General features: G+C 43.1%; 1 protein-coding gene and 1 long non-coding RNA gene across 7 annotated transcripts in view, besides 5 other annotated features; both read right to left on the minus strand.

Moving 5' to 3' along the window:
• MAGI1 (membrane associated guanylate kinase, WW and PDZ domain containing 1) overlaps positions 1-25,725 on the minus strand; it is a 685,393-nt gene that overhangs the window by 635,793 nt on the left and 23,875 nt on the right. The window lies entirely within an intron of this gene.
• LOC124900543 (uncharacterized) overlaps positions 1-25,725 on the minus strand; it is a 55,600-nt gene that overhangs the window by 20,604 nt on the left and 9,271 nt on the right. The window contains exon 1 of the long non-coding RNA XR_007095951.1: positions 1-25,725. This exon is cut by the window's left edge and continues 13,363 nt beyond it; it is cut by the window's right edge and continues 9,271 nt beyond it. This is a non-coding gene — a long non-coding RNA (uncharacterized LOC124900543).
• Positions 10,265-10,779: an enhancer, noted in NCBI's record as "H3K27ac-H3K4me1 hESC enhancer chr3:65985258-65985772 (GRCh37/hg19 assembly coordinates)". NCBI's record gives its function as "activates a minimal SCP1, AML or CMV promoter by ChIP-STARR-seq in primed H9 embryonic stem cells {active_cell/tissue: H9 hESC(primed)}" and the evidence as "EXISTENCE:reporter gene assay evidence [ECO:0000049][PMID:30033119]".
• Positions 10,780-11,294: an enhancer, noted in NCBI's record as "H3K27ac-H3K4me1 hESC enhancer chr3:65985773-65986287 (GRCh37/hg19 assembly coordinates)". NCBI's record gives its function as "activates a minimal SCP1, AML or CMV promoter by ChIP-STARR-seq in primed H9 embryonic stem cells {active_cell/tissue: H9 hESC(primed)}" and the evidence as "EXISTENCE:reporter gene assay evidence [ECO:0000049][PMID:30033119]".
• Positions 20,048-20,548: an enhancer, noted in NCBI's record as "H3K4me1 hESC enhancer chr3:65995041-65995541 (GRCh37/hg19 assembly coordinates)". NCBI's record gives its function as "activates a minimal SCP1, AML or CMV promoter by ChIP-STARR-seq in primed H9 embryonic stem cells {active_cell/tissue: H9 hESC(primed)}" and the evidence as "EXISTENCE:reporter gene assay evidence [ECO:0000049][PMID:30033119]".
• Positions 21,463-22,055: an enhancer, noted in NCBI's record as "OCT4-NANOG-H3K27ac hESC enhancer chr3:65996456-65997048 (GRCh37/hg19 assembly coordinates)". NCBI's record gives its function as "activates a minimal SCP1, AML or CMV promoter by ChIP-STARR-seq in primed H9 embryonic stem cells {active_cell/tissue: H9 hESC(primed)}" and the evidence as "EXISTENCE:reporter gene assay evidence [ECO:0000049][PMID:30033119]".
• Positions 21,576-21,870: a silencer, noted in NCBI's record as "tiled region #976; HepG2 Repressive non-DNase unmatched - State 14:Gen5'". NCBI's record gives its function as "represses a minimal TATA promoter and a strong SV40 promoter by Sharpr-MPRA in HepG2 cells {active_cell/tissue: HepG2}" and the evidence as "EXISTENCE:reporter gene assay evidence [ECO:0000049][PMID:27701403]".

Genomic DNA, 25,725 nt, shown 5'->3' on the forward strand with positions numbered 1-25,725 from the left:
GTCCAATGAACTTTTTAGAAGTTCTGTACTCCATTCCCATAAATTTTGATTTAATCAGTGAAGCATGAGGCATTGGTATTTTTTTATATCTTCCCACATGAGTCTAATGTAATGCTACTGTGGAGAACCACTGCTATAGGTCAAAGATTAGTATAAACAGTACATGAGCCAGGAGTGGTACGTGAGATGAATTTGTAATACCAGACATAAATTTATTTTTATTTATTTATCTATTTTGAGATGGAGTCTAGCTTTGCCACCCAGGCTGGAGGGCAGTGGCATGATCTCGGCTCACTGCAAACTCCACCTCCTGGGTTCAAGTGATCCTCCTGCCTCAGCCTCCCGAGTAGCTGGGATTACAGGCACCAGCCACCACACCCGGCTAATTTTTGTATTTTTGGTAGAGACAGGGTTTTGCCACATTGGCCAGGCTGGTCTCGAACTCCTGGCCTCAAGTGACCCGCCCACCTCAGCTTCCCAAAGTGCTGGGATTAACAGGCATGAGCCACTGCACCTGACCCAGACATAATTTTTTAATGTTATACAGTTGTTGTGTTCATTTTACTGAATATTTGGGGAAAGTTAGCTGTCATATAAAACCTATGATTTTACAGTTTTTACAGACTAAAGTTTAAGAAGTAATTTGATTGAAAGAAAAATATAAATAAAACTGGTTCAGGTGGTACACAGATATGAAGAAATTAAGAAAGTAGTTCAAGAATGACTAAAGTCTAGAGATCTGATGATGATGATGATGATAATGAAGAGGATTATCTTGTGAGGAAATAAAGAGGAAGTAGCAGACACAGGAGGAAGAGCTGGCAAGACCTGAGTGAGATTAACGTGAGGCAGGGGAGGGAAAGAAAGAGGTAATACAAGTCACCACGGCAAGGTGCGGGATCATGAACTCAAGTTCAGTATCTTGCTCCAAGTACTATAAATACCAGGCAGGTTCTCGGTCAGCATTCCACCACTGGCAAAAATGGAAAAGTTAAAGATTAGGGAGGTTACTGAGGGAAGACCAACATCTAAATCAACCGCTCAGGCTTGTTCCCTAACGGAAGATTTACAAGTCTCTTAGGATGAGTACCGCCTACCAAAGAATGACCCTCTGGTAAGGGAGACTCTCCTTGTTTAGCCGAAGCTTCTAACACCAGATGAGCATAGCTGTCAGGCCATTCTCAAGCACATGCTTCAAGATTCATTCTTCAGATTTCAGTTCCTGCTATGGCATGATGTTCCTTTGAGCCGGTTTGCCTCTTAGCACAGAGTAACTATGATGAGCCTGAACCCAGTATAACGTAACATTCCTAAAGGCCAAGTGTTGTAAACTGGACCTGCTCAGAAAGAGAATGCTGACTATAAAAACTTAGTCATCTTCAAATATATAGGCCATTGTGCAGAAGAACTTAGGTGGTATATATACAGATACAGAAATAAATAATGGTAAATCATATTTTGGGAAAAATTATTTCCTTTCTAATTCTCTATCAAACCTTCTGATTTTGAATCTCAGATCTCAGCTGGATGTGGTGGTGCATGCCTGTCGTCCTAGATACTTGGGAGGCTGAGGCAAAAGAATCACTTGAGCCCAGGAGTTTGAGCCTGCAGTGACCTATGATCATATCACTGCACTCCAGCCTGGGTGATGGAGTGAGACCCTGTCTCTAAAAAATAAAAGTAAATGAGGCTGGGCACGGTGGCTCACACCTGTAATCCCAGCACTTTGGGAGGCCAAGGTGGGCAGATCACTTGAGGTCAGGAGTTGGAGACCAGCCTGGCCAACAGCGTGAAACTCCATTTCTACTAAAAATGCAAAAATCAGCCAGGCGTGGTAGCATGCGCCTGTAGTCCCAGCTACTCAGGAAGCTGAGGCAGGAGAATTGTTTGAACCCAGAAGGTGGCGGTTGCAATGAGCTGAGATCTGCCACTGCACTCCAGTCTGGGCGACAGAGCGAGAGACTCTGTCTAAAAAAAAAAAAAAAAGGTAAAAAAAAAAAAAAAAGAAAGTTAATGATACTGTAATATATGAATATGGCAAAACTCATGAAGCTGGTTTCCAAGTGACTTACATTTGACACTTCTGCCTCCAATACCATTTCTGAGTGTCCTTCCTCAATGGTACTATGAAAGTGTTCCTCTCCAGTGTCAGTGTACTTATGAAACCTAGGTGACAGAACCAGACGTCGCTTTTTCTTGTTCCCAGGAAACTGAGGAAATAGCTTGGGTGAGCTAATGCAAGCAGACTACCTCCTGGCCTGTTTCTGATGCAATGAAATTCTAATACTTAACAAACACTACAACATTTTAAGACTTTGCTCTGACTGACCAAATATGAGTTTTGATCTAGATATCTTTCTTGCTTAGACTCTTCCCTAAATCACACGGTGGTATCAGTTTAAAAAATAAATCCAGGCCAGGCACGGTGGCTCGTGATTGTAATCCCAGCACTTTGAGAGGCCGAGGTGGGTGGATCACCTGAGGTCAGGAGTTTGAGACCAGCCTGGCCAACATGGTGAAACCCCATCTCTACTAAAAATACAAAAGTTAGCTGGGCATGACAGCAGGCACCTGTAATGCCAGCTACTCGGGAGGCTGAGGCAGGAGAATTGCCTGAACCCAGGAGGCAGAGGTTGCAGTGAGCCGAGATCGCACCACTGCACTCCAGCCTGGGTGACAAGAGCAGAACTCCATCTCAAAATAAATAAATAAAAATAAAAATACATAAATCCGAATGCCATGAGAAACAAGCATGCAAGATGATGGCATGGAAGGGTTTGGGTGCCAGAGAAAGTCGGAGTTTGGTCATGGGTAAGTTAACCTCACAAAACCATAACATCCTCAAGAAGTTGTAGGAGAATCAGATGAAAAAATGCACAGAAGGTACCTCATACACTAACTGGCATATAATAGGCACTTCATAAATGTCAGCTCTCCCTTTCTTGAATAACCCACACAGTTGCACATCTAAGGAAACAGTGACTCACCTATATCTTGACAAAGACAGTCCTTCCATAGATTATTTAGTACAAGTATTTCCTCTACTCCTCCAGATCCTTGAGTACTAGCCTTTATTGTCTGTGGTGAAATAACATGGACTGAGTGCAGTTTGCATTGAAGAAAACCTGAGCAAAAAACAGTGAACTGTGGTAGCTATGTCTTGCCTGCCAGAAAGCAGTACCTTTCCCTTGATTTCCAACACTCTGCTTCCCTTCAATACCAGGACTGTCTAACCAAAGCTTTCCAAGGACCCTTCCAAGGGGATCTTGTTAAAATGCAGATTATCATCTAATACATCTGGGAGGGCAACCAAAATTCTGTATTTAACAAGCTCTCGGGAGATGTGAAAGCTGCTAGTTGGCACATGGACCATATTTTGAGTAATAAAACCCTCAATACCACCAACGCCTTCCAGATCCAGGAAAGACAACAAGGGAACAAGGGGCAGAGACTTTATCAGAAATTCCTTTCTCTTTCCAAGAATCTGGGCATCATTTCGGCTTTATTTTTATTGTTGTTGTTGTTATTGTAGGGTTTCACTCTCTCACCTAGGCTGGAGTGAAGTGGCATGATCATGGCTCACTGCAGCCTCAATCTCCTGGGTCAAAAGATCCTCCCGCCTCAGCCTCCTGAGTAGATGGGACTACAGGCACACGCCATCATGCCTGGCTATGTTTTTTTTAATTATTTTTAGTAGAGGCAGGGTCTCACTATATTGCCCAGGGTGGTCTAGAACTCCTGTGCTCAAGCGATCCTCTTGCCTCAGCCTCCCAAAGTGCTGGGACTACATGCACCTGGCTTCATTACAGCTTTATTTCCAGATGCTTCATATGCAAATGAAATGTCTAAGAGCATCCCATTTAACTGAGAGCCATCACAGCAGGCCACATGGAGCTGCTTATAAATGACAGATTACTCATTTTCTTTTTTTTGCTTTACATGGTTTTACCAGCAACCCATCTGATACCAGTTTCCCCACTGAGGCTTAAAATGACACCTCTGCCTCACTTATTCCACAGGGTGTGGACCTATGTTGACAGAACAAGAACCCATGTAGCTAGAGATGGGTGATTTGCAGCAGAAACCCACAGGCAATTAGAAGAACCAGCAAGCCCTTACTGAACACCTACTGAACAAGAATAACTCACAGAGAAACACACTTCACACATTAGTCTTTCATTCAACAAATAGTTATGGGGCACTAATTGGGTGCCAAGCACTGTTCAAGCCTCCATGGACTGAACCCAAAAACTTGTTCACCATTGTAGCCTTTACACCCTTGATACGCTTAATTTTCTTTTAATCAAATTGAATGAAACTTGATCACAAGCCTGTGAGTTAGGCAGTTCAAGTGTGATCTCATCAACCACTGTGTGACATCATCTTACATCATTTTCAGACTCTGTGAAGTAAGCATTACCTGTAGCTAATAAATCACTCACACACACACATAGCTTGGGGTCAGTAAGTCAACTTCTCCCAGGTAACACAATTAGCTAACCCTGGAAATGGAACAAAATTCTACCTGATTGCAAGGTTCATGCCCATAACCTCTAGTCTGTGCTCCCTCCCCAGAGAAGAAAGGTAATTCCCTGCCTGCCCTCAAGAAGTTTACCATCTCCTAAATAAGAGAGGACAACCCACAGCCATGAGACACTAAAACAAATATGGTAGGCCGGATGCAGTGACTCAAGCCTGTAATCCCAGCACTTTGGGAGGCAGGGATGGGCAGATCACTAAAGGTCTGGAGTTCGAGACCAGCCTGGCCAACATGGTGAAACCCCATCTCTACTAAAAATACAAAAATTAGCCAGGCGTGGTGGTGGGTGCCTGTAATCCTAGCTACTTGGGAGACTGAGGCATGAGAATCACTTGAACCTGGAAAGCAGAGGTTGCAATGAGCCGAGATCACACCACTGCACTCCAGCCTGGGCGACAAAGCAAGACTCCATCTCAAAAAAAAAAAAAAAAACACTGGTAAATGACTAAAGCATGAAAGTGAGTGGTTCCAAGATGCAATGCTCTAGAACACAGCAAAGAGTGAGAGACTCAGTGCCCTTTTCAAAATACTTTCAACTTAGAAATGCTTATTAGTATCTCCCCTCCTCATATGCTAAGCACCCCCTGAGGTAGACAGGCAACCCAGTCGGTCCACCCTGGGTGCTGACTAAAGACTTCTTGAATGTATCTGTTTCAATTATCTACTGTTTTATATCAGACTACCCAAAACTTAGTGGCTTAGAACAACCAACCACCATTTCATCTCTCTTACAACTCTGTGCATTTAGAATGTGAACAGGGAATGCAGTATCTTCTGTCTCAGCTCCCTGAGCTATCTGTTGGGGTGAACCATCTGGGGTCCCAGCTAGAATGGCTCAGACAGCTGGGTGCTGGCTCAAATTGCTTAGCTGGAATCACAGTATCATCACTTCTACCACACTCTTAAAGTGGTGCACAAGCCCTGTGTACCTTCAACAGGAGGGGACTCTCTAGGCACATGAAGTGGGTTTCACTGAGGCTATCTAGCCAACAGCTGACTGTAACTTACACACATCAATGAATGAACAAACTTCAATCACTGGCTCCATTCCTCTTTCCTCTGTCCTCCACAAAGACCAGTCATTTGCAGAGAGGAAATTAACTCATTGTTTCCCTTAACCATGGGAAAGAAACAAAGGGTTAAGTGGTCAGGTGCTAAACCTGAGGGGCATGGAGTTCTTAGACAGAAAGCTCCTCCATCCACATATAAGTTTCTCGGGGACAAAAACATTGTCTGTTCCCCACTGACCCTCAACTCTTGCCCATACTGCAGGCTCTAGAAAACTCGGAAGGAACCGTGATCCTCTGATGAGTCACTCAGCCTTGGCTTCTCCCTGGTGAAGACAGACAACAAGAAACACATTTCCATAAAGGTGCTGAGATAAGCAAAAACATAAATAACAAATGCAATATGGTCTAGAGATGGACTTGTTACACAATGGTGCTGTCCAGAGGAGTTCAGCAATAGCCAATAATTACAATGAGTCATTAGTAGGTGAGTGGCTCACACCGTCCCAATGCAGGAGAGCCAAGAAATAATAAGACAGGTCAATTCAATCCCACTGAAAGCTCAAGTTAATAAGAAATTTAAATATTTTTCAAAGAGTAGAGGTGATACAGACAAGAGGACACATCCTTTTCATCCATTTCCCCATAAGGATATACGGCTCCCTTAAAGGGTTTTTTTTTTGAGAAAGAGATCAGATCCTAAATGTATCACGAGGCCCCAAATGGTAAATTCAAATCCTATTCAAACTATTGTCAGGGAAGGAGAGAAAATGACAGACCAGCAAGCACATTCCTGAAGCAGCAAATTTAACAACCTCCCATAATCTCTTCCAGCTGAGCATGCGCTGCTCCACCGGGCCCTTCTATTCCCATTTGTAATTATTCAGTGCATTCATTTCTATCCTCCTCAACAGCTATCTAAGTCTGTTCTCTGGGAATCCTGTGAATATTTTCAGACAAAAAATTGTGCGGCAATTAAAAAGCTAGCTGCGTGTGGTAGCATGCACCTGTAGTCCTAGCTATTCAGGAGGCTGAGGCAGGAGGATCTCTTGAGCCCAGGAGTTTGAGGTTGTAGGGAGCTATGATCGTGCCACTGTACTCTAGGCTGGGTGACAGAGAAAGACCCTTTCTCAAAAAACAAAACAAAACAAAAACGGGATCTTTTTCAGCTTTCTAAAAAATAACCAGAGTTCTAAGAATTTGGGTCCCAGAACCTACAAATTAAATTGGAATCTACGACCCACCATTCATTAGTTAGGTAACACTACTGAACTTCGCAACTGGGCAACTATTGAACTTCTCTGAGCCTCAGTTTCCTCATCTAGAATATGAAAATAATTACAGCACCTACCTCCTAGAATGTTAAGGAGGATAAAAAAAATGATACCATGTATTTCAAGGTCTTCACCTGCAACACAGAACACAATAAGCTCTCAATAATTGCCAGCTACTATTATAACTTGTCTTTTTATACTGCACCTAACCCTAAATTAACAGTGCAACACTTCATTTTTTTTTAAATCTCATAATTCCACCCCATTCAATCCTAACTAAATTTAAAATACACACCAAAAACTAAAAAAGAGATACAGGCACAGCTGCCAAATGGCAAGTAAAAAGCCGTAATTTTCCATCATTGGAATATATTTAGTGATAACTATAAATGAAAAACTAAGGGGGGGGGGGGGGAAGCGAGCCCCCACTTAAAGTTACCCTTCCAGTCTGACAGTCTGAAAACCAAAAATGAAGTCAGACTTCCGCTCGCTTCACTCCTTTCCACTCCCGTCTGTCAAAGTTGGGTGGAGAACTCCCACATTTCCTGTTCTGAGCCCGGAGCTCTCTGCCAGGTAAAGCAATAGACACTCCAGCTTGTGCTGGGACAGCTGGGACCATCGGAGGGCCGGGCACTCACGAAGTTTCATATCATTCTTTCTAGGTTAGTTCTGATGAAATCAACACCCTGAACTGAAGGCCCCGGGCGGCCAAGATAAAAGATTAAGTCATCAAATGACTAGCATACTTGCTTCTTAACAAGCAACTCTTGTGGTTGTCATACACGAATGACGTCATCTCCAACACACACCTTGTCAGGTATTCTATTCCCAATTTTCTCACAGCTGAAAAGGAACCAGACTGCTGATTTTCTCAATTTGCTTAGCAGAGGCAGAAATTTAATTGGGATATATATGGTTCTTTAGATTTTCTTCTGCAGATTATTTTGCCTCCAGCACTTTACATTCCCCAGGGAATGGTTTTTGTTGTAGGGAGTACTTAAAAATGCATCTATGTACCCACCCTACCTCAGTGGAAGTGGTCTGGCAGCACCTCCTCACATACCCTGACCACCAGCAGCACTGTGCAAGACCTTATACAAGATCCAAACCACTAAAACCTCCACCAACTTATCCACAGACCAAAATTCAGATTTGCCAAGATTTATAAAATGATTGCAATGTCATGCTACAAAGAAAAGAATATCGGCCTCACAGAACTCAGTAAAAATAATATCAGCCAGGCGCGGTGGCTCACGCCTGTAATCCCAGCACTTTGGGAGGCTGAGGCAGGTGGATCACGAGGTCAAGAGATCAAGACCTTCCTGGCCAACATGGTGAAACCCCATCTCTACTAAATATACAAAAAATTAGCCAGGCGTGGTAGCGGGTGCCTGTAGTCCCAGCTACTCGGGAGGCTGAGGCAGGAGAATGGCATGAACCTGGGAGGCGGAGGTTGCAGTGAGCCGAGATCGCGCCACTGCACTCCAGCCTGGGCGACAGAGCAAGACTCCGTCTCAAAAAGAAAATATCATATCCATGATGAAATTTCATGGAGTTCTGTACCAAGTCAACCTACCCACCATCTAAAATTCTCTTGTTCAACTATTGCTTTTGTGTTTCCTCTTTTCCCTCTCCACACACACCCTCTCCCCCTCGACACCAGGAACCTAAGACCCATGAGAGCAAGGACTGTTCGCCAACTCTAGTCTCACAAGACAAGGCAAAATAGTAGTTGTTGGCTGGGTGTGGTGGCTCCTGCCTGTAATCCCAGCAGTTTGAGAGGCCAAGGTGGGTGTATCACTTGAGGTCAGGAGTTCAAGACCAGCCTGACCAACAGGGGGAAACCCCAGCTACTCAGGAGGATGAGGCTGGAGAAACGCTTGAACCCGGGAGGCAGAGGTTGCAGTGAGCCAAGATTGCGCCATTGCACTCCAGCCTGGGCGACAGAGCTAGACTCTGTCTCGGGAAAAAAAAAAAAAAAACAAACAGTAGTTGTGGTGGATTCCGTTATTTTTTTTGGCAAATATTCTCTCCCTCCTCCTCCCCCAGCCTTCATGGGAAGACTATACTTCCCTGACTTGCTCTGGGTATGTGCTGAAATGACAGTGTGTCATGTCAGTCCCAGGACCAGGCTGCAGAATGAGACACATACAGCACAGTTTCCCAGTCAACTTGCAGACCCCTGAGTGTGAGAATACTTCATGCTGAATGCCACACAGTTTAGGGTAGTTTGTTACATAGCTTTTTCGTGCCAAGAAATGAGTGATACAGCAAGCTCTCAATAAACATTTGCTGAAGTAACAAATGAAAAGACTCAACTTGTTAGCACTTGCAAAAACCCATTAATTGTGACAATTCTGCAACAAATCAAGTATTAAGCCTAGTTTTTACTCTAGAATATACTCCTTTAATAAAAATTACATATTTAGAGGTTAAGATTTAAGAGACCAAGACTAATCTGTTAGGCCTTCCTTATTTGACTAGAGCCAAAAGATAATGATCACTTATCCCATTTGTAGATTATACTCTGAAACCATTTGATGGTTTTTTTGGGGGGTTTTTCTTTTTTTTTACCCTTTCCTTTCCTAAAATGCTGGTGAAAGCTTCAAGCCCATAAGATACCAATTTTTACAGGGTACTATTCCTTTCATCTAATGCAAAAAGCCTTGAAGCTCATAAAAATGAGGCTATGAACTTTTAAGGCACATAGCTTGTAGGGTTAGTGTTGATGTATTTCCATTACTTGAAACATTTAATGGAAGTAGTTTAACAGTTCACTTACATATTGTGTTTACAGTTATTTCATTTCTTAACAGAGAATAGAATCACATCTAAATGGGGATAAAATCGCATTACATTCTAGAAGTACCTTTTCATTCTGACCCTTTATCACTCAAGGTAAGGGCTATAAAAGAATCCCTTTTTTAAAAAAAAAATTTATTTGAAGTTCCGGGGTACATGTGCAGGATGTGCAGGTTTGTTAGGTAGGTAAACATGTGCCATGGTGGTTTGCTGCACCTATCAGCCATCCCTTAGGTATTAAGCCCAGCATGCATTAGCTATTTTTCCTGATGCTCTCCTCCGCACAACCCCGCACTCCCTGACAGGCACCAGTGTGTGTTGAAAAGAAGCCCTTTTTCAATGAAATTATAATTTAGGGGGATAAGGAGAGGAAAGACAGGCAGAAATGAGAAAGAATCAATAAAATCTGGGAGCAATATGCTTCCTCATCTATGGTACTGATATGCTTACTTTCAATGTGCCAAGCATATGCAATATCAAAATTTCACATGTATAAATGATTATGACCTACCGATATCTTTCTTTACCCCTCAAGTGTGAGGGGAAAAAAATGGGAAAAGCACCTAACAGAGTCTTCAGGCCTTATGGCAAATATATGGTGAAATATTCCATGAATAAAACAAGTCTATTTTAACATATACTTTCAGACCACCTTGGGAAGTTAATCGTTTTCTCCATCTCAAATCACTTTCTACACATGGTATTAATGTTGGTTTATTCCTTTCTTTATTATCTGATTGCTAAGTTCCCTTTTAAGCCACAATAGGACACACCAATGCTCCACAATCGTTTTGCCATTAAGAACTAGTTGCATCATGTTTTGCAAATACAGCCCAGTTCGAGAAGTCTGTGTTCCCCAATTGTGCTTTCGAACTAATAAGTAACCTATCTGCCCCCGAGAGAGCCACTGTAACCACACAGAGTTAACCTTACTCTACCTAAAAGTAAAGAAACTTGACATTTTAGTTAAACTAGGTAACCATATCTTGAGAAAATGTACTCTGGTTAATCAGGTCTTGTTCCCCCCACGCTTTTTTTTTTTTTTTTTTGATACGGAGTCTCGCTCTGTCCCCCAGGCTGGAGTGCAGTGGCGCGAACTAGGCTCATTGCAAGCTCCACCTCCCGGGTCCACGCCATTCTCCTGCCTCAGCCTCCCGAGCAGCTGGGACTACAGGCGCCCGCTACCATGCCCGGCTAATTTTCTTTTTGTATTTTTAGTAGAGACAGGGTTTCACCGTGTTAGCCAGAACGGTCTCGATCTCCTGACCTCGTGATCTGCCCGCCTCGGCCTCCCAAAGTGCCCAGATTACAGGCTCAAGCCACCGCGCCCAGCCCTTGTTCCCTTTTAATGATAAAACAGCTTGACATTCCTTCCCCAGATGCCTTTTAAGGCCTCCAATTGGGCTCAAGAAACCAGGCTGGGAGGTGATGTTCTGTTTTAATCTCTATTTCTCCATCTCTTTCTTCCTACCCCAATTAAATTTTCTTATTGAAATAAACGCAGGGTTTAAAAAAAAAAATTTTTAAACCTAATACGACTAAGGCAAAAATAATCCCAACACATATACTGTGATGCTTCTACCTTGATTACTTACCAAGGGTAAATAATGGCACAAGATGGGCCTTGTGGGAAATAAAAGCTAAAACTGTCCAAAGGCACCAGACATGATGAAAGGTATTCCACACTGGAGTATTTCAACCAGGAAGCAGGTGAGCCAGAGAGCTCTGCTCAGCCCCCATGGTGGGGCAGGACTCAGCACAAGGGGCTTGGCCCAACATGGGCAGTTAATGGGTGTTTACTTCCTGTCCATGGCAGGGCAACATCCTGCATCACAGGCTAAACCTTTCATATCAGGCTTTTACAGAAGGGCAGCAATTATTATCCTCTCAGCCCACCAATTTTAATGAAAACCCATGGCAGGCCAGGCCCTGTCTAAAGTGCTTCACAGCCATTATTTCATTTAGTCATCCCAATGACCCAGTGAACAATTAGGAAATTGAAGCTCCAAAAGTTGCAGTCGGCATGTATTAAGATATTATAAAGATGTCTTGTCCTGGTGCTGGAGATACATAGCAAAATGGAAAAGATGAAATTATTCTCTTCAAGGGACCTGCTATCAAATAGGGGAGACAGAAAGGTCTTTAGAAAATAATAGAATGTAGTTAGAAGAAACAAATTCAGGGTGCCCAGAGAAGGCCCCTAAGTATTTGGGGGTGGAGGATCTCAAGGCCATGGTATTTGAGCTCAGTCTTGAAGAACAAGTAGGAATTGGTTCGATTAGGATGGAATAGGTGAAGGGGGATGAAGACCTCCCAGGAGTAAAGAACTCACCTCAGTGAGGTTTTCAAAAAGAAAATTTTAAAATAAACTTTGAATATTCAAAAAAGATATATAATATCTAAAAATTATTATGATTATGCTAGATCCAAACCACTAAAACCTCCACCAACTTATCCACAGACCAAAGTTCAGATATGCCAAGATTTATAAAACGACTGCAATGTCATGCTAGAAAGAAAAGAGTATCAGCCTCACAGGACTCAATAAAAATCTAAAATGTAAACACTTGACAGACAAGATCCCTCTGAATCCTCACAACTGGAGGAGGCAGGTCCGATAATTATCCCTGTTTTATACAGGGGGAAACTGAGGCTCAGACAGGTTACATAACATGGCTTAAAATCACATGACAAATAAGCAGACCCCAACCCTATATAATGCAGAAACTTACATGTCCGTGGCCTTAACAGCTGCTCCTACCTGCCCTTCCAATTTTGCTTCCTGTCCAGTTCATAACAATGTGTCTACCTAACAAAAAACAAGTAGTCTGAAGAACAATGGAAAATTTTGGACATCTGTGCCAATTTTAATTAAATAATTGCTTGTCCACAGGCCAAGCTGTTAAAGCCTTTAGAAAAACACGGAAGCTGAAAGCTCTCACATATATTAAACAAAAGTGATCCTATATGATCACTAGCAAGGTCCAAACCTTCCCCTTGCCTCAGTACTTGTTCCCAAAGCAAGCTCAGGTTTGATCAACCACTTCCCGCCTCAAGTCTTATAAGCCCCAGTGTGCTCAGACCTTCTGAAGCCACTTGACAGGCTTCCTGCCTCAATTTCATAGATTGAGTCTCATAAACAAAAACAAATGCCAAGCACAAAAATCTCTTGGCAATAAAGGGGCCTGCATTAGTTCTCCTCAGGTAAGGATTAACTTCAATATTTAGCTTAGAAATAAGGCATTTTAAATTCGCATTTTCAGAAACACTGGGCAAATTTGCAGAAAAGAAAAAAACACGTCTGGATGGGGAGGGGAGATCTCACTGCATTAAATGTTTCTATAATAAATAATTCCCTGAGGTACCAATTTTAATCACTTGACATTTTGTTTCCTTTTAATGCAAACATACAGAACACAATACTACCATTTCCAATTTTATTTGTAAGGATCTAGCTCTTAGGTAGGAATTAGGGACATTTCATGGGGTGGGGGGTGGTGGTGAAGATCTCTGTCTTTTCTGAAATGACTTGATGCTGCTTAAAACTCACCTGTCCCACATAGACTATTTTTCTTTTCTTTTTTTGTTTTTTGGGGACAGACTCTCACTCTCTTCCCAGGCTGGAGTACAGTGGCGCGATCTCGACTCACTGCAGCCTCCACCTCCCTGGTAGAGGGATTCTCCTGCCTGAGCCTCCCGAGTAGCTGGGATCACAGGCACCCGCCACCACACGCAGCTAATTTTTTGTATTTTTGGTAGAGACAGGGTTTCTCCATGTTGGTCAGGCTGGTCTCGCACTCCTGACCTCAGGTGATCTGCCCACCTCAGCCTCCCAAAGTGCTGGGATTACAGGCATGAGCCACTGCACCTGGCCTATTTTTCAAAAATAGTGCTTCTGATTCACTGCACTTCAAAGGTGGCCTTCCTGGTATTTTCAGGTACAACAAGCATAGTAAGGGCCATTTGTCCAGACAGGTAAATTGCACCTAATGATTGACACTAACAGGAGAATTATTAATAGTACAGAGCTGGAATTAACAACAACCACTACATACACACACATATACACAGTCCCAGGGAGTATTAGATCTATAGTCATGTATTTAGGCAAAACTTCCCTTTGAACTGCTTTGATCCATCTGCCCTGAACATATGAAAGAAGAAGAGATAACTTTGATACCTGTAAGACTGTGAAGATGAACAGGGCAGTTGGTGCAAAACTACAAAGCCCTTTCCCCTTGAACAGCAGAGTCACAGGGGCAGCCATAAACCCTAATACAAACTCTTCCCTCCTTCCCTCTCCTTCTTACCAGCCATTCGCCACCACCTCCCCATGTGGAGACAAGGACACACCACAGCAACTGCAATTCAGCCACAGAGTAATGGAGAGTGGAGATTTGGCTTGTTGATTCAAGGTTAAAGAGGAGAGGCAGGACATGCACGGTGGCTCATGCCTGTAATCCCAACACTTTGGGAGGCCAAGGTGGGTGGATCACAAGGTTAGGAGTTCGAGACCAGCCTGGCCCAACATGGTGAAACCTCGTCTCACTCTGTTGCCCAGACTGGAATGCAATGGTGTGATCTTGGCTCACTGCAACCTCCACCTCCCAGGTTGAAGAGATTCTCCTGCCTCAGCCTCCTGAGTAGCTGGGATTACAGACACACACCACAACACCCAGTTAATTTTTGTATTTTTAGTATTCTGTATTTCAGAGATGGGGTTTCACATGTTAGCCAGGCTGCTCTTGACCTCCTGACCTCAAGTGATCCACTCACCTCGGCCTCCTAAAGTGGTGGGATTACAGGCGTGAGCCACCGCACCTGGCCAGCTTCAACTGTTTTTAAGGGTAACTTGGTAACTGTGTAGAGCAAATTCTCACTTTTTTGTTTGTTTGGTTTTTGGTTAGTCAAGTAAAGTAGTGAGAGTAGAGAAAGAACAAAGAAATCTGTAACCAGTTGTGACCAACCAGTTGTAAACACCACTGCACTCAGACAAGCTGTTTATTTGTTTATAATAATAGTAACAAGAGAAGGCGGGGGACATCACAATAATCTACTCCCACCCCCTTTGTAAACTAAAATGCTACTTCCTTTATACCTGTGAGACTATCTAAAACAATTCAGAAGCTGACGCTCCTGTTCGCCAAAACAGATGTGGGGAAAAAAATCCTGCTCGGATTTTATTAGAAGCCAAGGACTTTCCTCATTCTCTCTCTCTGGTTACTAATGCTCCAAAATAAGCCACCTCAACTTTGTGGCATAAAACAACCCTTTCATTATGCTCACGGTTCTGTGGTTCAGGAAGTCAGACAGAAATGGGGACAGTTTGACTCCACAGTGTCTGGGGCTTCAGTTGGGGGTGACTTGATGGCTAAAGGCTGGAATATCCGGAGGCATCTTCACTCGCATGTCTAGAGGTTGACACTGGCTGTCGGCCGAAACACCTACACGTGGCCTCTCTGCGTGGTCTCTCTGTGTGGGCTTAGTCTGGGCTTCCTCATAGCATGGTGGCTGGGATCCAGGAACAAGCATCCCAAGATAGCAAGGCAGAAGCACATGGCATTTTTACGGTCCTGCCTCAAGAGTCACATGGTGTGACTTTCTGTCATACTCTGTTGGTCCAGATAATCACAAAGGTCTGTCCAGGTTTAAAAGGATGGTATATAGACATCACCTTCCCCACTCCCATGGAAGCACAGTCAAGTTCACATTGTATCTGGCATGGGAGCTATTTTTTGCCACCAACTTTGGGAAAAAAATGCAATCTGCCATTGCAGACAAACCACTGATAGATGAAATCCCATGAACAAGGTAAGTCCAAAAATTCTGAGTCTCAGGCATCTTCGACTATCGCAGATTTAAAGCAAACTCTGACAGGCAAAAGATCACAGGAGAGAGCTAGAAGAATGGGGTTTTAGCCACAGAAGCCCACCAAGGTGCCTTTGAAGCCATGATTACAAACACTACTCCTGGCAACAATTAGAAGGGTCCTCAACATATATTATTGTATATACCTTTGCTGTTTTATTGCAGCTTGGTTCCTTCTGTATCCCATTGACATCTGATTTAATGTACAAGAGTATTAAAACATCTGCTGAATTATAATTCCAAAGTTCAGATGACATCAAGATAAAATCTATGAAACTATGAATTTGCCATGTTAAATGGCTTTTTTATTTTTAATGGATCACAGAGGGCAGCTGTTTTAAAGCAGTCCCATATGCAAAGCTGTGGGTTAGGTTTAACTAAGAATCAATGTGACCTACAGATCTTTGAATGTGTTGCAAGGGAGACCACAGTCTTCAATAATGCTGCATCTCCCAGCAGGCTGCTTTTGGGCCAAGCAGGAGATGGGGAGGCAGAGAAGATCATCTGCAATGAGTGGCCCATATCTTGATTTTCTTTTGTCTCAACCTAAAAATGATACTACAGGCTCTTCCTATGTTTTAAGGACAAAATAGGCCCACCTTTCAGACTTCTGGTTACATCACTAAGCAGGAACACCATTCCCATCAGGATAATATCCTCATCTTATAAGTAACAGCCTCATCCTCAGCTGTTCAAAATCAATATTCACAGCCTCTTTGCCTCTCCTCACCCACTAAGAAAATCTTTAGCACTTCCCACTCAGCACTAACCCCATTCCTAAATCTCCCACGCCTTCCCCTTGTGTCTTACTATACATATTGAGGCCATCAGTGTGTGTGAGTGGAAGGGGGGAAATCAAAGGGAGAGAAGAAAATAGCTGAAGGACAAAGACAAGGAAAGAAGATGACACAAAAAGGAATGGCAGCACCATGCCAGGGAGAGATTTGGTAGAGGACAAGAAACATACCACAAAGAGATCTTCCATGCATCTCCCATGGATCTACCAGGAATCTAGAGATGGAATGATGACAAATAAACAGAGAGGGAAAGGGCACTTAGGAAGGGCTGCAAAAGGGAATCACCTGACTTCCAATAAGATTGCAATCACTTCTAGGGTTGGTTCCTGGACTGGATTTCTTTGAATGACACACTGGGCCTCGAGTCAGTCACTTCAAAACTCTGGATTTACTTGGGTTATGTTGAGCTGATAAAAAATTATATTTAGAGAGATCAGTAATTTGTTAAGTGACAACTCAATTCTTCCCATCACTGAAATTTGTGACTTTACCACTACCAGACACAGCCAAGTAAACAGAAATCTATCACATTCATTTAGCCCTTATTGTCTATTGCTCATGAGGATTTAGCTGTCCACCAGACAGGAACCAGCAACCAGTATGGAAGCACTTGTGTGGCTGGCTGCTATATGAATAATGTCAGCAAATGTGAATTAACTCATGAGAGGCTGAAAAACTATTACTGCCAGTATTGGATACGACAAAAAATGAAATCCCACCTTCTAAAGACAGAAAGTTGCCCAGCATTTTATTTCAAATGTTAAAGTCTTAAAAGCTTCTCCTAAAGTCAAACAAGTAACTTTTCACTTGTGACACATATATACACACATATAGGTATACATGTATATGTGTTTATGTGTAGGTATATATGTATATATGTGTGTATGGGTATGTATATGTGTCTATACATATACATATGAGTAAGACAAACTAGAATGGTTTATTTTCAGCATATGTCAAACCCTAGGCAATGCTGAAGTAAAGCTTTTTCATCTGTTTAGACTCTGATCATCCTATGGTACCAGAACTTTAAGGAGGTTTCTAATGATGTCACATATAATACTGTCGTTTAAAGAAAGTATGACATAAAAACATATCAACACACAGACACATAAATAAAACAGGGGAATGGGATTATGAGTTTTAAATTTTTGTTTCAGTTTTTTCTTGGTTTAGCGGTCCTCTCTTTGAAGAACATGGTTTTGTTTTGTTTTGTTTTGTTTTGTTTTGTTTTGTTTATTAGAGATGCAGTATCACTCTCTCACCCAGTCTGGAATGTAGTAGCTCAATCATAGCTCACTGCAACCTCAAATTCCTAGGCTCAAGTGATCTTCCCACCTCAGCCTCCCAAGTAGCTAGAACTACAGGTGCATGTCACCATGCCCAGCTATTTATTTATTTATTTATTTATTTATGTAGAAACAGAGTCCCACTTCGTTGCCTAGGCTGGTCTCAAACTCCTGGCTTCAAGCAATTCTCCCACCTCGACCTCCCAAAGTGCTGAGATTACAGGTGTGAGCCACCACACCTGGCCTGAAGATCACATATGTCACGTAAAGTCTATTAAGCTTGACTACACTCAGGGTACAGTGCAGATGCTGGGTCCCATGGCGCTCAAGAGGGAAGGAGTCCCTGGACCTGCCTCGGTAGAACTTTATCAGTTCTATCTCATTGTCTCCTTTAAGCCCCACGGCGATCCTATCTTCCCAATGACACACTGTCTCTTTTCCTATATCATTAACAGGTAAGAATCAAGTTGTAAACAGAAGAATTAGGAAGCCAAAAAGCAGGAAAGCTGAGCAACACACTCAAAATCTAATCGCTGCCTGAGAAATCAGGAATTGACTCTAAACACTTGGACACAGCATGTCACCAACACAGTCCAACTCTAGTGAGGAGGAGGAGAGCGAGGAAGAGGAAACTCAAGAGCATAAATGTGCAGGATAAGGGAAATGGTGCAAGGCTGAAGAGAAATTCCTTAACTGCATCCTAAGCAGCTGTTGTCAGTAGGTCTGTTGCTGATGCTTCCGAGGAAACATTTCAGGACCATTTATCAAGGGAACTGGTAGCAGTAATATGGATGGGCTTGACTCAAACAAGAAAATATACTGCAGACAACAAGGAACATAGCTCATAAGTGAGATGAGCCCTAGTACAGCAATAACCATTTCAGTGTATTTGCTATACTTTCCTTAGGGCAGAAGAGAAGGAAAGATACTAAATTGGAGGAGGGAAGAATGTGTGCCCCACACACTAGTCCTCTGGAGCTTATCTGGCTCCATAGATTTTTTTTTTTTTTTTTTTTTTGGACATAGAGTCTCACTCTGTCACCCTGGTTGGAATACAGTGGCCTGATCTCGGCTCACTGCAACCTCCGCCTCCCAGGTTCAAGCGATTCTCTTGCTTCAGCCTCCCAAGTAGCTGGGACTACAGGCATGTGCCACCATGCCCAGCTAATTTGTGTATTTTTAGTACAGATGGGGTTCCACCATGTTGGCCACGCTAGTCTTGAAATCCTGACTCCAGGTGATCAGCCTGCCTCAGCCTCCCAAAGTGCTGGGATCATAGGTGTGAGCCACCATGCCCAGCCTGGCTCCATAGATTCTTACTATTTAGTATAGTTCATAGGACCAGCATCAGCATCACGTGGGAGTTTGTTAGAGATGCCCAACCTGGGCCTACTGAATCAGGACCTGCATCCCCAGATAATTCACAAGCACAGTCAACGTGTGAATTTACAATGCTGGGCCCTACACCATCTGGTGAACCGAGAGATTTCAATCTTTTCCTCATCTCCTCCTCCATTTAGTCTCTAAAACATGAGCACCCACCACATGTAGGCACTATACCTGGCAGGCACAGCAATGCCCTTGACCCTCACGCAGCTCAGAGCTGGGCATTCTGGGGAACAGACACAACCCATACAACCACAAACGCACATAAAGATACAACTGAGTGGCAAGTGCTGCAAAAGGGAAACAAGTGGTCTTATGAGAGCATTAAACAAGATGAGATTCTGTCAGGCCAGGATCCCTGGAGAAAATGATGTTAGAATTGAAATCTGCAGGATGACTACATATTAAGTAGGAAGAGTATGGGGGGGCAGGGAACAGTGTCCAGCCAAAGAGGAAAGGCTTGTGCAAAGACCCCATGGCATACCACATTACAGGAACGACAAGAGAACACCACATGTACAATGAAGCTGGCCGGGGGGCAGGGGCCAGACCATGAGGGCTCTTGTAGCTCTAAATACTTTGATCCTAAGAACAGAGAGAAGCCCTGAGAGGCTTTAAGCAGGGTATGCCAGGTTAGAGAAAAGAAGGTATAGGCAGATCCCAGGAATTTTACTGAGGAAGCAGGTCTCAGACCCCAGCTATCCCCATTTGTATAAAAGTTTATCTTCCCTTCCCTTCTAACCCAGGGCCGTATCAGGCGTAAGCCGGCCTGCCTGCCACCAACCCCACAAGACAAACTGAGCCCCTTTCCTACCAAAGAAATAAGCAAGAAGTGCCCCAGTGCTAAAGCAAAAGAAAAACACACACAAAGATGAATATGCCTGGTGGCTGCCCCAGGACATTGGAGGGAGTGATGCATAGTACTTCAGATTCTTAAAAATAAAGAATATCCGGCCAGGTGCGGTGGCTCACGCCTATAATCCCAGCACTTTGGGAGGCAGGCGGATCACCTGAGGTCAAGAGCTCGAGATAAGCCTGGCCAATACAGAGAAACCCCGTCTCCACTAAAAATACAAAAATTAGCCGGGCGTGGTGGCCGGTGCTTGTAATCCCAGCTACCCGGGAGGCTGAGGCAGGAGAATCACTTGAACCCCAGAGACCGAGGTTGCAGTGAGCCAAGACCATGCCACTGCACTCCAGCCTGGGCGACAAGAGTAAAACTCTGCCTCAAAATAAAAAAAGTAAGGAATATCTGAATTCAAGACCTGGTTCTACCCCTGACTACCTACACAAGGTAAACTTTCCAAGGTTCCTAAGAATGCCTAACGATACCTACATAATAATGTTACTGAGAGAATTAAACAGTAGTGTCTACAAAGCTCTAAGCATGAAACTTAACACATAGTAGGTGTTCAATAAAAAATGTATATCTTTACACAGCACTGTGGTTCTCAACCTGCCCTCATGAGCACATTAACTCTTCAACCTAAAAGAATCATTGTTGGCTGGGTGCAGTGGCTCACATCCATAATCCCAGCACTTTGGGAGGCCGAGATAGGTGAGGCAGGTGGATTGCTTGAGGTCAGGAGTTCCAGACCAGCCTGGTTAACATGGTGAAACCCTGTCTCTACTAAAAATACAAAAATGAGATGGGTATGCTGGTGGGTGCCTGTAATCCCAGTTACTCAGCAGGCTGAGGTAGGAGAATCGCTTGAACCCGGGAGGTGGAAGTTGCAGAGAGCTGAGATTGTCCCAGTGTACTCCAGCCTGGGTGACAAAGTGATACTCTCTGTCTCAAAAAAAAAAAAAAAAAAAAAAAAAAAGAATCATTGTTTATTTTTAAAAACAATAACGACTAACATATAGAAAATGCTTAGCCACAACATTAAGCAATGCTAAGCATCACATGTATTAGTAAGTCATCACAATAACACTATGAAATGGGTGCTGCTATTAACTCCATTTTACAACAAAAAGTATACAGAAAGTAAGGAGCCTGCTCAGGTACTGAGTGTGAGTCTCTGTTCTGTGGTGCCTTGGCCACTCCTCAGGGCTCCCAATATGCATATCCCTAGGCAATAACTTGGGCAATTCACAAAGTGCTTTCCCCCTTATTCTAGGTCTCCTTGAACTACGGAACTCTTAGCATGATATTCACTGATGCCCAACAAGCCTGCTTCACTCAAGTAAAAGGCTGAATGAAAGAAACTGCCTCTTGAAAGAATCTGATCCTCTGACCAGGGTGCAGGCCGGCAGATGATAAGAGGCTGAAAACAAGCACACTTCTAGGCGTTCCTCACTTACACCATTATAATGAAACGAAGCTTTCTCTGGCTATATGGGGCTCTGATGTCATTAGTAGGACAGCTCTTTGAAAATCCCAAACACCCAAATTTTGATAAAATCTAACTTTCTTTTCAGAATTTCCAGTTTGTGGTATTTGGAGAAGTCCCATAACCCCTACATGAACTGAACTGTGTTTATTTCCAAATTTTCTGCACACCACTCACTACCAACTTGGTGTTTACAAAGCACCTTTGCCCTCAGGATTTCCAGGCAGTGATAAAAGCATAGAGCAAATATTTTATGGCCGGTCTCATCCTAGTGCCGTAGTGGGTACACAGAATGCCAGCCAGCTGTAAGCAAAGGGGCAGGACTTGAAAGCTTTCTCAGAGGAAGCCAAGTGTTACCTGTGGTATTTAAATGGAAAGAGGCCTGTTGAGTCAAGTGCCTTCCCAGGGAACTGGAGGGACACCAATTTGCCCAAAGTCATCCCTGGCTGGGGAATATAATAGAGGGCTAGAGTTCAGACTTTTCTTCCAGCTGATGATTCATTTAGGACAAAAGAATTTACCTTTCCTTTCAACTCTCTGTGACAAAAGGTTGGAGATACCAGAGGAAGCCAATTCAGCTAACTTCAAGGGTGTCCCCACATGGCAGCACACATAAATGCGCCAAAGGGAAAATGAAAGGGAACGGCCCAAGTATTCTTTTCTCGACAACAAACGTTGCAACAGTCCTAGAGCGACGAAAAGATAGGTTTGAAAGCTAGTCAAACATGAGCTCAAATCCAAGCACACCCACTTCCCAGATGTGTGTTCTTGGTCATGTTACTGAAGAAGGTGGTGCTTATTAAGCCAATTACACACACACAAACATACACCCCTATGTCATATGCCCACATGCAGTGAACACTATGCTGTACTATGCCACCCGCCTCCAGGATCCCCCTCCAAGACTTGTGTTGGCTGCAGAGAGTCACCTTCCCTGAGGTCACATAGCCTTCCCAGAACAGCCGCCTCCAATCCTTGTTGACTTGAGGGTATACAAGCCTTGCCCTATCATCCCAACCCAGGACAATACTGAAGAACCATCTCAATGTCAGAGCTTCCTGCAGGTCGGCTGGGCCTTGGTTGAGACGACTTCACAGCCTAACTTCTCCTCCAGCCCAATTCCTTCAACAGGAATTGATTCCAAAAGCATTCCCTAACCAATGTCCTATATGGTAATCATCTCTGAGTTTGCTTTCCAGGAAGCCAGACAATATGCTGAACCAAAAAAAAAAAAAAAAACTGGAATGAGAGATAGTGAAGTATGGCCAGGTAATAGTATTAAGTTATTTGGATTGTCCTTTTTTCAAGGTCAAGTAAAATGCAATTCTAGCGAAAAAAATGAGTTAACTTTTTTAAAGGGCAATAGGATACCCAACAGATGTCCAATACTTCCTTTTTCCTTAGCTGTAACTCCCCCTACATCACACAACCTTGTCTATATCGATTTGCTTTTGCTTGTTTTAGTTAGGATGGGCAACAAAATGGTATTTCAAAGTTACATCCTTCAAATTCAAAAGAATGACAGCCACTGAAACATTCTATGCTCAGTTAACCCAAAACACCAAACTTCCAGATGCATACAGGCTTTAATCTGTCAAACTTTTAAGTAAACTTTTCTTGGACAAGTTATCAAGTAACATCTTAGAAATTATTTTTTTAGCAGAGGGCAAATAAAAAGGAATTACACCATGATCCACTCAACATGAATAATACAAACTATACTTTATGCAGTAAACATTCATTCCAAGTTTTTCCTATAAATATAAATATGAGAAGAGGTAGTATTAAAAGTTCCATATCACCAGTCTTACCTTGAAACAAAAAAAAAATATTAAGACTCAGTAATAACTAGCTAATTTCAGAAAAGCAGAGGTAGAAATGGATGAGAGATAAAAACAGACAACCATTTGGGAGCCTGAGGCGAGTGGATCACTTGAGACCAGGAGTTTGAGACCAGCCTGGCCAACATGGCGAAACCCCATCTCTACTAAAAATACAAAAATTAGCTGGGTATGGTGGTACACATCTGTAATCCCAGCTACTTGGGAGGCTGAGGCAGGAGAACAACTTGAACCTGGGAAGCAGAGGCTGCAGTAAGCCAAGATCGTGCTACTGCACTCCAGCCTGGGCAATAGGGTGAGACTCCATCTCAAAAAAAAAAAAAAAAGAATAAATAAGGGGACAGATGTGAAATCATCTAGCACAGTGCCTGGCACATCAGAAGTGCCCCTGTAATGTCCGGTAAATCTGAATCACTGCTATTTTTTAACTGCAGCTCTTTCCCACCCATCCCCATTTCCTCTAGGGTTTTACTGGGAAGCAAAGAAAAGAGGAACCTAGCCAACTCTGAAGCCCACTCTAGGTCAATAGTTTGCATGTAGCTCATTTAATCATTTTAACTCCTATTGTGTCTAAATTTATGTTTGAGGAACCCAGGGGTGGGGAGGGTCACAGTTTTAAATTTTTTAAAAAGGTGTGCTGTTTTCCCAAAGAAGAACTTCAATTCTGGCTGGGCACAGCGGCTCACGCCTGCAATCCCAGCACTTTGGGAGGCCGAGGCGGGTGGATTACCTGAGGTCAGGAGTTTGAGACCAGCCTGACCAACATGGAGAAACCCCATCTCTACTAAAAATACAAAATTAGCCAGGCATGGTGGCACATGCCTGTAATCCCAGCTACTTAGGAGGCTGAGGCAGGAGAATCACTTGTACCCAGGTGGCAGAGGTTGCAGTGAGCAAAGATTGCACCACTGTACTCCAGCCTGGGCAATACAGTGAAACTCTGTCTCAAATAAAAAAAAAAAAAGAAAAAAAAAAAAGAACTTCAATCCAACTACCTTGGAACCAAATTAAAGAAAAAGATAGAGGCCAGACTCGGTGGCTCAAGCCTGTAATCCCAGCACTTTGGGAGGCCAAGGTGGGCGGATCACGAGATCAGGAGACCGAGACCATCCTGGCTAACACAGTGAAACTCCGTCTCTACTAAAAATACAAAAAATTAGCTGGTCGTGGTGGCGGGCACCTGTAGTCCCAGCTACTCGGGAGACTGAAGCAGGAGAATGGCTTGAACCCAGGACGTGAGGCTTGCAGTGAGCTGAGATCGCACCACTGCACTCCAGCCAGGGCAACAGAGTGAGACTCTGTCTCAAAAAAAAAAAAAAAAGAAAGAAAGAAATGCAAACATCCCCACTAGGTATTTGAAAAAGCATGTTAGGGCCAATGCTACCCACTTTTCTCAGACAATGAAAACATCGTCAATGATTTGACTGAAGACTTATTTAAGTAAAACGGAGATACTCATACACCTGACGAAAAGAAAAAAGGTAACTTCTCCCCTGATAAAGACCATGCAATGGTGGCTCCGCAGTGAACCACTACATAATGTATCAGGGCCATCTTCCTCAATTTCCCTCATAAAAATAATACCTGCTTGCTGTAAACTACACCAACGAGTCACCTATGTCACAGCCCATTTCCCATTTCTCTTGCCCCAATTCCAATCCTCAGAGGAAGGTAGGGTAAACACATAATTCACCATCCAAAGCAGTTCACCAAACACTGAAAGAGGGTACTATTAATAATTATACCAGAACAACAGGTGTAAACCAGATATTTCCCAAACAAACCGAGACATATGGTCACCCTTCTCAGAGGTAGCCACAGGGAACATATCCTTGTTGTTCCAGATCTTTTTTTATTTTTAAGGCACACACAAGCATACCCAACCAGGTCAGCAGTAGCTGTGATATAACAATGGGATCATCCTATAGATGCTGTCTCTTACTTTTTTATTTAATATATCATCATCTGTTTACATGTCAGGACAGAGATCCACCTCACTTTTTTAACTGACTACAGAATAAGCCACTGTAGGGAGATACCATATAATTTTTCAACCACCCACAACACATATAAGCCAACTTGAAATTTTTGTCTTTACAAGCAATGCTATATAGAGAACACAGCCCCACATATATCTTTTATGAGTTTGAGTATTTCCAAAGAATAGGTTTCTAGTGGTAGAAAGGCTAGGTCAAAATGTTACCATTTTTAATAGGTTCTTCTCAATACTCTCCAAAGAGGCCTTATCAAATCATTTCAAGACCAAGAGTTAATAAACACTTGTGAAATTCTGCCAGGCTGGTAAAGGACACATGCTATCTCATTCCGTCATTTTCTTAAATGTTAACTTAAGACACTCTGGGTCCATGGTACACTTGGAATTTTCCTGCCTCCAGGCCTTTGCTCCCACTGTTGCCTCCACTTAGAATAACATTCCACCCCATCTCTATAAATATCCTACAGACAAATACTACCTTCCCCTTAAGGCCAGTTCTAACCCTAACTGACAACAAATCATCGCTACATGATCTTTTCCTTCTGGGAATGCCTGCAGCACTGTTTAATCCTGCCCCACCACCATCCCCTCA

This window comes from Homo sapiens, chromosome 3 (assembly GCF_000001405.40).
Source record: "Homo sapiens chromosome 3, GRCh38.p14 Primary Assembly".
In the NCBI taxonomy this organism is placed as follows: domain Eukaryota; kingdom Metazoa; phylum Chordata; class Mammalia; order Primates; family Hominidae; genus Homo; species Homo sapiens.